The sequence below is a fragment of the Homo sapiens genome, chromosome 1 (genome assembly GCF_000001405.40).
Source record: "Homo sapiens chromosome 1, GRCh38.p14 Primary Assembly".
Lineage (NCBI taxonomy): Eukaryota > Metazoa > Chordata > Mammalia > Primates > Hominidae > Homo > Homo sapiens.
In genome coordinates, this window is record NC_000001.11 from 247382974 (window position 1) to 247394426 (window position 11453).

At 45.4% G+C, this 11453-nt stretch overlaps 1 long non-coding RNA gene across 1 annotated transcript, besides 1 other annotated feature; it reads left to right on the top strand.

Annotated features, from left to right (window-relative positions):
• The first annotated feature begins 6802 nt into the window (after positions 1-6802).
• LOC107985375 (uncharacterized) lies at positions 6803-10889 on the top strand. The gene is made up of 2 exons (XR_001738574.1): positions 6803-7375; positions 10369-10889. It is a non-coding gene; the product is annotated as an uncharacterized LOC107985375 (long non-coding RNA).
• Positions 9868-10150: a silencer, noted in NCBI's record as "fragment chr1:247556143-247556425 (GRCh37/hg19 assembly coordinates)". NCBI's record gives its function as "represses an EF-1alpha promoter that drives an FKBP-Casp9 reporter gene in an ReSE screen in HepG2 liver carcinoma cells {active_cell/tissue: HepG2}" and the evidence as "EXISTENCE:reporter gene assay evidence [ECO:0000049][PMID:32094911]".
• Positions 10890-11453: the final 564 nt, after the last annotated feature.

Below are 11453 nucleotides of genomic sequence, written 5' to 3' on the forward strand. Positions count from 1 at the left end.
GCCCTGGCCACTGAGTTACAGCATTGAGCAGTTTCTATTGCTCTTCCCAGAAGGAGCCTAGAGAAGCCAGTTTAAAAGTTGCAAAGGTTTTTAGCTGCTCAAGAAAATGTTTAGGGCTGACTATGACATGAATCCCCAAGTTCCTGTCTTCTAGATGGCAGAAACCAGGAGAAAGTATCCCCACATGGTCACAAGGTTAAGCTCTTAAGGACACAAAACAAGACAGAGAAATTTCATCTGCTATTGGTTTCAGGGACCCATAGCAGTTTGCAGCTGAACAGCCTGCCAGGCTGGCTTGAAAAGTGGGCTTGAAAGTGGGTCCTGAACCCACGTTCTATCCTGTGATACTCCTTTCTCCATTACAGAACACAGAAAGACAAATTCTTAGCACAAAGTACACCAGATTTGCTACCACCTAAAACTAGTTTCACAAATCCTTTTTCTATTAATCAAACGCTTGCAGAGAGACAAATAGTGACGTTTACTGTTTACCCAGACAGCGAAAGAGAGAGAGAGAGACCAGAAACTTGGCTGGTAAGAATTTCTTACCCTTTTTGCCAGCATACTAGGCTTCCTGGCTCCCCTTCTCTGCAGCTTCCAGAACAGAGTGGTTTCTAATGACCCTGCTCACTGCACCATGGCTGTGGGAATCAAGCCACTTTACAAGAGAAAATCACCCTTTCCTGAGCTTTACGGAACCACAGACAAGATTCTTAATTGGCAAGATGCTGCCCAACAGGCTGCATGGGGAACCAAATTAACATTTTCCATCCCAGCAAAACACACATAACAAAACACACATTAGCCACCTCGTTCAGCACCCAATATCAGCCTGGCAAAGCTCAAAAACTTTTTCCCGTTGGTCCCTGTTGTCTTTGATCCACTCCAGGTGGGGAGGGATGACCTTAGAATAGTAATTCACAATGGGGTCTCTCGGCAAGACGAAGAGCAGATAGTCACCCCGAGACAGGCCTGTTGAGCCTTCTCTAGGGCTCATCAAATGTGACCAGACAAATAAGGAGGGTTTTGAGTTAGGTCTGCTGGACTTCCATCAGTAACCTCTTCTGAGATCCCTTCCACATATACAAACACACACAAAGATGAGAGGACACAGGCCTTCCCAATTAGATCCCTAACCAAGACCTCCAGGAGTATCCCTTCCAAACTATCTTTCTATTCTCCTTCTGAGAAACCTCCTCAAAATCTTCCTAATTGAGAAGAAGTCTCCCAAACCAGAAGTCTTCCTACTAGTTAGAAGGAGCCAACCAAGACTCCCCAGGAGCTGAACAGACACCCTCCAATGGGGCTACAGACACAGACATCCCATGATGGAGCTACAAATAGACATCCCACCACAGGGCTACAGAACCAGTCAGGAGAAGGAAGGAGGCATTGGCAGTGCATAGGATACTAACCAATCTGGATTAGACAACCTGCAATGGGGTTACAGACAGACACCCCACCATGGGGCTACAGACAGACACCCCATGATAGGGCTACAGTTAAGGGATGTCTCCCCGTGACTATTTCTCCACTGCAATTAAATCCATGCACATTGGGTCAGCAGTGCCCCACCAGTAGTGAGAGTATCAGGGTCAGCCTCCAGTCCAAGAGAACTAGGCAGCTGCTTGGGCAGGCTTCTGGATCCATTGCTAGAGGGCTGCCACTGAACCATGGGCAGGTAGTCACAAGGGCAATCCCGGACGAGCTACCAAATTTGTAACTGTCCAGGGGGTTCACCTTGCCCACCACTTAGATAGAGCAGATTTATTAAAACAGGGGAATTGCAGTAGAGAAAGAGTAATTCACGCAGAGCCAGCTGTGTGGGAGACCAGAGTTTTATTATTACTCAGATGAGTCTCCCTGAGCATTCAGGGAGCAGAGTTTTTAAGGATAACTTGGTCGGTGGGGGGAAGCCAGTGAGCCAGGAGTGCTGATTGGTCAGAGATAAAATCTTAGGGAGTCAGAGTTGTTTTCTTGAATTCAGTCAGTTCCTGAGTGGGGGCCACAAGATCAGATGAGCCAGGTTTTTTATCTGGGTGTTGCCATCAAGTGCAGGGTCTACAAAATATCTCAAGCATTGATTTTAGAAGCAGTTTAGGGAGTGTCAAGATTCTGTAGCCTCCAGCTGCATGACTCCTAAACCATAATTTCTGATATTCTGGCTAATGTTAGTCCTACAATGTCAATCTATTCCCCAGGCAAGAAGGAAAAGGGCTGTTTGGAAAAGGGCTGTTACCATCTTTGTTTAAACTATAAACTATACACTAAGTTTTCCCCAAAGTTAGTTCAGCCTACCTCCAGGAATGAACAAGGACCCCTTGGAGATTAGAAGCAAGATAAAGTCAGTTAAGTTAAATCTCGTTCACTGTCTCAGTCATAATTTTGCAAATGTGATTTCATGTGTCCACGTGGGGCTTTGACTGGAAATCACTGTTGTTATTTTTTTTTTGCTGCCCATGACAACATTTGAATGAGTCTTTTATAATTCTAGTTCAATTTCTCTGAAGAGAAAAGTAACCATTGTTTTGAAGTGACTCATGCACTTCTCTTTTTAGTCTGACAGCCCTGACAGAATATGTTAGCTATTCTCCAGATTTTATTTTAAAGTCCTAAAAAAATTTGATTTTTGCGGGGTTAACTTTTACATATTGTTTTTCAAAATTAATATAATTTTTAATTGACAAATTGTAATTGTATACGTGTATGGGATACATGATTTCAATACAGGTAAGAGACAGCGTAATGTAGAATACTGCCGTAAGATAGGAAGGCAGCAGATGGAGCCAAGTGTGTTGGCATGTACCTGTAATTGAAGCTACTCAGGAGGCTGAGGCAGCAGGATTGCTTGAGCCCAGGCATTTGAGTCTAGCCTGGGCAATGTAGCAAGACCCATCTCAAAAAAAATTAAAAAAGAAAGATGGAAAAAAACAAACCCAGGGATTCTCCACAATTAGTATATAAAAATAAAAAATAGGCCAGGCGTGATGGCCCACACCTGTAATCCCAGCACTTTGGGAGGCTGACGTGGGTGGATCATTTGAGGTCAGGAGTTTAAGACCAGCCTAGCTAACATGGTGAAACCCTGTCTCTACTAAAAATACAAAAATTAGCCAGGTGTGGTGGCGCACACCTGTAATCCCAGCTACTCTGGAGGCTGAGGCACAAGAATTGCTTGAACCCGGGAGGTGGAGGTTGCAGTGAGCCGAGATGGCACCACTGCACTCCAGCCTGGTGACAGAGCAAGACTCCATCTCAAGACAAATAAACAAGTAAATAAAAATAAGCAAGAAATAAAATAAGAAATAAAGGTAGCAGATGGAGATTTAGGAGACAAGGACTCCAGACATGCTCTTGCTTATTCTATACCTATAGTTCTCACTGTGTGGTCGGGGGATCCCCATGGAACTCCTGAGATCTTTCAGGGGATCTGCAAGGTCAAAACTATTTTCATAATCATACTATGACACTGTTTTCACTCTCACAAGTGTAGACTAGAATTTACTTTTCCCCTTCTTCCCTTCTTCTCTTTCTTTTTTTTGACAGGGTCTCACTTCACTCCCCAGACTGAAGTTCCATGGCATGATCATGGCTCTCTGCAGCCTCAACTTCCCAGCCTCAAGCAACCCTCCCATCTCAGCCTCCTGAGTTGCTGGAACCACAGGTGTGCATCACCACGCCCAACTAATTTTTAAGTTTTTGTAGAAACAGGGTCTCTTTATGTTGCTGAGGCTGGTTCAAACTCCTGAGCTCAAGCGATCTTCCCACCGCAGCCCTCCAAAGTGCTGGGACTACAGGCATGAGCCACTGTGCCCGGCTTAGACTGGAATTTTCAACAGGCTAATGCTCTGTGATATTGCAGTAGACTAAAGATGCAGAAGTATTAGAGACTCCAGCTGCTTTCTGCTGAGTCAGACATGAGTAAGATGTGCAAACTGTAAGTCAGTGCTACTCTTCTCAGACTTTTTAACAATTTTTCTGTTTTGGCTTCTGATACAGTAAATATCAACAGATATAATCCCCACATGAAAGCCCCCTGGAGTCCTCATTTTCAAGAGTGTAATGGGGCCTTGAACCAAATCATTTGAGAACCCCTGCCCTAGAAGTAAGAGTGTTTTAAACCCACAGCAAGCCGGCCTCTCTGGGTCTCAGTGTATCCTTTACCTAAAGGAAGGATATGAGATAAGATGATTTCTAGTATCTCCAGATCTGGACAGGTGAAGATGGCCTAACTTGGCTGGTGGGTTTATAAGCGAGTCTGACTTGTGAGGGTGAAGGGAGGGGAGGGCCCCCACACAGCTAATTGTTCCACAGCGTGGCGCTCTGGGTCTCAAAGGAGAGAGATTCCTGCTTCCCTGTTTTGCTGTTTGGTGCTTTTGTGTTCTGCTATAAGCAACAGAGAACTTGGCCAAATTAAAATGTTGCTGGGGAGTGAGTGGTAGGAAAAATTAGGATTGTGTGCTATATTTTGGGGGGTTCTTCAGAGAAACAGAATCCATAGGATACACATAGTATATGAGATTGATTATGGGAATCAGCTCACACGATTCTGGAAACTGAGAAACTCCACCACCTGCTCTCCGCAGGCTAGAGAGCCAGGAAAGCCAGTCGGGGAATTGAGTCTGAGCTTGAAGGCTGGAGAAGTGTAACTGCCCAATGGGCTCACCTTGCCCAGTGCCTGGATAGAGCCGATTTAGCAAGATAGAGGAATTGCAGTGGAGAAAGTGTAATTCACGCAGAGCCAGCTGTGCAGGGGAACGGAGTTTCGTTGTTACTCAAATCAGTCTCCCCAAACATTTGGGCAGCAGAGTTTTTAAGGACAGCTTGGTGGGTGTGAGGAAGCCAGTGAGCCAGGAGTGCTGATTGGTCAGAGATTAAATCATAGGGAATTGAAGCTGTCCTCTTGCACTGAGTCAGTTCCTGGGTGGGGGCCACAAGATCAGGTGAGCCACTTAATTAATCTGCATGATGCCAGCTGATCCATTAAGTGCAAGGTCTGCAAAACATCTCAAGCCACTGATCTTAGGAGCAGTTTAGGGAGGGTCAGAATCTTGTAGCCTCCAGCTGCATGTCTCTTAAACTATGATTTCTAATCTTGTGGCTAATGTTAATCCTACAAAGACAACCTAGTCCCCAGGCAAGAAGGAGGTCTGCTTTGGGAAAGGGCTTTGTTTTAAACTATGGTCTTTGTTTTAAACTATAGGCCGGGCACAGTGGCTCACGCCTGTAATCCCAGCACTTTGGGAGGCCGAGGTGGGTGGATCACGACGTCAGGAGATCGAGAACATCCTGGCTAACACGGTGAAACCCTGTCTCTACTAAAAATACAAAAAATTAGCTGGGTGTGCTGTTGGGCACCTGTAGTCCCAGCTACTCGGGAGGCTGAGGCAGGAGAATGGTGGGAACCCAGGAGGTGGAGGTTGCAGTGAGCCGAGATCACGCCACTGCACTCCAGCCTGGGCGACAGAGTGAGACTCTGCCTCAAAAAAAAAAAAAAAAAAGGTAAACTATAAACTAAGTTTCTCCCAAAGTTAGTTCAGCTTATGCCCAGGAATGAACAAGGGCAGCTTGGAGGTTAGAAGCAAGAAGGAGTCAGTGAAGTTAGATCTCTTTTGCTGTTTCAGTCATTAATTTTGCAAAGGTGGTTTCAGAAGCAGGAGCACTGATGTCCGAGGACAGGAGAAGGTGAATGTCCCAGCTCCGAGAGAATGTGCCTTTCCTCCACTCTTCTGTTCGGCTCCTCAACGGATGGAACGATGCCTGCCCGCGTGGGTGAGGGCGGATCTTCCTTACCTAGTCTGATAGAAACGCTAACCTCTTCCAGACTCACCCTTACAGACACACCTAATAATAATGTTTTACCACTTCTCTTGACATCTCTTCCCAGTCAAGTTGACACATAAGATTAACTTCCACAGTTGCTCTGTCCAAGTAAAGGGTTTTGCCAGGGCCCTTGACCTCAAGAGACAGAAGAACCTGAGAGCACACTGGGAGGCCATGTCACAACCCTGTGAAAGGGTGGGGAAGAACTCTCTGTCCATGTCCCTGGATTTCTAGATGTTCAGAGCTGGATGGGCCCATGAGGAGTCTTTGGTCCAACTTCCCAACAAAACAGTCTCGTTCTCGCAGCCTCCCAGGCAGGATTGCTGGGCCTTAATGTCCAGGGAAGCTGATGAGCAGGAGTGTGGGAGCGAAGCCTTCCCTTCTTCCCTTCCTGGTCACAATCAGGAAAGGGAGTTGCTCCTGCTGACCTATAGAATCTCGATTTCAAGACTGACTGATTCTACAACCAAACGAGAAAACGAGAATTCTTACGTAAGTTCAGAGTAACAACTGTATGCAAGACTCACTCCCACCTGTGTCCTCCTCGACTCATTCTTCCCCACCTCCTGTGTTTCAGTGCGTAACAAACTGCCATGGACTGGGTGGCTTATAAACAACAGGATTTTTTTTTGTTTGTTTTTTGAGACAGGGTCTCATTCTGACACCCAGGTTGGACTGTAATATGATTGATCATAGCTCACCACAACCTCAAACTCCTGGGCTGAAGTAGTCCTCCTGCCTCAGCCTCCCAAGGAGCTGGGACTCCAAGCACAAGCCACCATACCCAGCTAACTTTTAATTTTTTGTAGAGATGAGGTCTCTCTATTTTGCCAGACTGGTCTCAAACTTCTGGCCTCAAGTGATTCTCCTGCCTTGCCCTCCCAAAGATTTGGGATTACAGGAGTGAGGTACTACACCTGGCCCAACAGAAATCTATTTCTCACAGCTCTAAAGGCTGGGAACTCCAAGATCAAGACACCAGCAGGTCTGGTGTCTGGGCTGGTCTGGTGTCTGGTGAGGACCCGTTTTCTGTGCTACTGATGGCCATATATGTTCCTTAGCTATAATCTCACATGGTGGAATGGACAAGGGATTGCTCTGTGGCCCCTTTTATAAGGGCACTAATTCTCCCTTCAGGGGGCTCCACTCACATGACCTAATCACCTCTCCAAAGCCTCATCTCTTAATACCCTCATCTGGGGGGTTAAGATTTCAACATATGAATTTGGCAGAGACACGGACATTCCATTTATACCAGCACCTCTTTATATTAGGTTTCATGCAAGCAAGCCCCGTCTTTCCCCAATATCCCACCCTTCACTTCTGTCCTGGAAACTTCGGGGACGCCAATCATGTACTCTTTTTTACAGCAATTAGCTTTCTCCATCCGCTGGTGCTGCTCCGCAGTCCTCCGCTCTCCCTCCTTCCTCTTCTTAACCTGGGGAGGGCAGAGGGATGATTGTCACTAACACCCAGGACCAGCAGAGGGCAGAAGAGAGTAGCAGGAACCTCCAGTGGAGCAAAATGAGGGACTCTCCTCTCAGTTAAGCAGGTGAGCCAAGGCCAGGCCTCTGGGCTACATATACAGTCCCAGGGGGAGAGAGCGAGGTCAGGTCTAAGACGCGGGGATGCCCCAGCTCAAGATGTGCTGCAGCAGCAGCTGGAGTCGGGCTCCTGAAAAGAGTCGAGCTCAGTGTGGTTAGGAAAAACATTGCAACAGCAGTTTCAGGCTACTTCCGTTTTCTTTCTTATTTTTATCTTTAGAAGCTCAGTATATTAAAAAAAAAAAAAAAGAAATGACAAAGCAGAGTTACGAAACTCTGGTGTGTTTTAAATGTTTACATCGAATACACTTCCTTTTACAGAAAACTCAAGATTCCAGTACACTGAGCAATGATATGCTTATTTCTGTGAGCACAAAAAAGACAGTGATGAAAATACTTGACTAATGAAAAATTTGGAAGTTTGGGGTTTTTTTTTTTTTTGCAAAATGATTTCACTCTGGGACTTTTGATGTTATACCATCAGGAGCTTGAGTGACAGCCATTGTTTTATTATTATTATTTGAATTGGGGGTCTCGTTCTGTTACCCAGCCTGGAGGGCAGTGGCACAATTATAGCTTACTGCAGCCTCGAACTCCTGGGCTCAAGAGATCCTTCTGTCTCAGCCTCCTGAGTAGCTGGGACTACAGGTGCACACTACCATGCTTGGCTAATTTTTTAAACATGTTTTTGTAGAGATACGGTCTTGCTATGTGTGGTGTGGCCAGCCTAATCGCAAACTCCTGGCCTCAAACAATCCTCCCTTCTCAGCCTCCCACAAGCACTAGAATTACAAGCATTAGCCACCACACCCAGCCACAGTCATCATTAAAGGAAAAAATACTCTGTCCAGGTGCAGTGGTTCACACCTGTAATCCTAGCACTTTGGGAGGCCAAGGCGGGTATGTCACTTGAGCCAAGGAGTTCAAGACCAGCCTGGGGCAATATGGCAAAACCCTGTCTCTACAAAAAGTACAAATATTAGCCAGGTGGGTTGTGATGTGCACTTGTAGTCCCAGCAGCCTGGGAGGTTGAGGTTGGAAGATCGCTTGAACCTGGGGAGGTCGAGGCTGTGAACCATAATCAATCACGACTGCATTCCAGCCTGGGTGGCAGAGTGAGACCCTTCTCAAAAAAATATTCCGATGCTTTTTGAAATGGTAACAGAGACTTTATTTAGCACGATTCCAGCAGGGGTATTGTAATAGAGCAGAGAGAATGGACTCAACCCTGAATGCAACAAGGGAACGTTGGGATTTATGGCTAGGGAACAGGTTGGGAGTCAGTGGACAGAGATTACTAAGAGGATATAGTAAAGGTGAAAAAGATTCTGTTAGACTTTAATCAGACTCCTGAACCTGGCCTAACAGAACTTTAGTCAGGCTCCTGAACCTTCTCCTAGACCCATCTGTGCATTTCCTTATAAAATCCAGCTTTAACAAGAATCCTGCTAAGTCAGTTTAACAAGAATATCCTCATCCTTGGTATCTGACTCCTCAATGGCAGATTGGGTTCCTTATTTTTCATTATCCCCCAGGCAATGTTCAATTACCCCGGCCTGCCTTCAGCAAGAGTATGTTAGGCCAGTTCAACCAGAACCCCCTTACCCCTGATATTTCCTCTTCGTAATTTTTTATCTACTGACCCCCACCCTTCTCTTTGGTTATAAATACCCCCTCTTCCTTGTTGTATTTGGAGTCCGACCCAACCTCTCTCCCACCGCTAGATCCCACTGCCATGTTACCTACACTTATCACAAGGGTCCAGAACAAAGTCAGCCCTCCCATCCTTTAATAAGTACCATTGAATAATTTTTCCTTAACAAGGGTAGGGATATTCTTGCTAAAGTGATCTAACAGGATTCTTGCTGAAGACAGGCCAGGGTGATCAGATATCACCTGGGGGATTGTGAGGGATGAGCAACCCAATCAGATATGAGAATAGTCAGATATCAATGTGGGGAATGACTTAGCAGGATTCTTGCTAAAACTGGGCTAGGCAGGTTGATGAGAGGATGGGGGCCAAGGACAAGGCCTGGTTGAGGAGAAGATTCCGAGGAGTCTGACTGAAGTTTGGTAGAGGAGGGAATCTTTGTCACAGTTCACTGTAACATTAAAGTCTGGACTTTTTTTTCCTTTTTAACATTCTATCACACTTGGAAATGTCTTGCAACAATATTGTACTTTGAACAAAATAGTTACAGGACTATGAAAAAGAATCTTAGACATGCTACACTGTAGGCAGCATGGCCTGGACATGGACCTGTGCTTACAGCTGTATGGTAGAAAGAACCTGTGTGAAGGTGAGTTTAAGTATCGGAGTGTGAGAGGCCTTCTGAGGACACAAAGCTTCTCTGTGCCTCACCCACAATGGTGTCTTGGTGAATGCCTTTAGACTGAGTGAGCATTCATCTAGTCTGAGACTTCTTATCTACTGCATTTTTTTTTTTTTTTTGGAGAAACAGAGGTCCCACTATATTGCCCAGGCTGGTCTTGAACTCTTGGCTTCAAGTTATCCTCCTGCCTCAGCCTCTCAAAGTGCTGGGATTACAGTCATGAGTCACCACGGCCTGGTCTGTCTACTGCATCTTAAAGGAGCAGATGCTTGCTTTTTTTTTTTGAGACAGGGTCTCACACTGTTACCCAGGCTGGAGTGCAGTGGCACAATCATGGCTCACTGTAACCTTGAACTCCTGGGCTCAAGAGATCCTTCTGCCTCAGCCTCCTGTGTAGCTTGGGACTACAAGTCCATGCCACCATGCCCAGCTAATTTGTTTTTTAAATATATATATATTTTTTGTAGAGACAGACTGTTGTTATGTTGCCCAGACTGGTCTCAAACTCCTGGCCTCAAGTGATCTTCCTGCCTCAGCCTCTCGGGGTGTTGGGATTACAGGTATGAGCCACCATGCCTGGCCTACATGTCTACTTTTGATCCTGGGAATAGGCAAGCATCCTCCCTTCCCTCCTCTTTTATGATTGTTCCCTGTACATCCACCTCCAGCTCCAGGACTCTACCTCTCATCAAGGCTGACCAGAAGCAAGATGATGGAAGCCAAGAGAGCTCCTCTGCATGCTCCACTGTCTAAGCTCTGCTCTGCATCTGCCGTGATTCTTCTTCCAAACAGAAAACACCGTCTTTCTTTTTGACTACATCTGTCCTCAGAGATGGTGCTGATGGATCCATTTATAATTTATGTGAATTTAAACCTTTGCAATTTTTACATGGAATAAAAGGACCTATTTTCTGGAAAGAAAATGCTGAACAAGAGCTGAGAACCTGGGGCAATCTAAGGCAGGGGTTCCTCCCTAACACCCCTGCTGTCAGAAGCCAGCTGGTTGGCCATAGATCACTTCACCTAACACCCAGTGCCCAGTCACATTTGCCCCCAAATTGTACAACTCAAGCTTAACTTTCACATATTTTAAGATAGTGTCAGCCCCTTTTGCAATATGTAGATGATACTTTTTGTTTGTCATTTACCATTTCAAAAAAATTAAAGCATATTGAATATCTAACTTAAAGCATATTGAATATCTAGCTTGCTTTCCTCTCAGGTTACTAATAAGAATTGCATTTTTTAATGCTTAATCACATATTAAGCTTTCCATTTGGGAGTTTTGCTCTTTTGTTCTTTAAATGGTGTCTCAGTCCATTTGGGCTGCTATAACAAGGTCCACAGACTGGGTAGCTTATCAACAACAGAAATTTATTTGTCACAGTTCTGGAGGCTGGAAAACCAAGATCAGAGCTCCAGCATGGTCAGGCTCTGGTGAGGGCTGTCTTCCAAGTTGCAGACTGCCAACTTTTTGTTGTATCCTCACATGGCAGAAAGAGGCAAGAGAGCTCTCTGGCCTCTTCCTATAAGGACACTAATACCATTCAAGAGGGCTCCATTCTTGTGAGCTAATTACTTCCCAAAGTTCTCACCTCCTAATACCATCACACTGGGGATTTCAACACATGAATTTTAGTGGGGCACAGTCAGTCCACTATAAATGAATATTACCAATATTTCCATTTGCCTTCTTGCATGGCCTGCAGGAGGTCAGTGTTTTTTCTCCTCTAATGATATTGAGCTGCGGTTG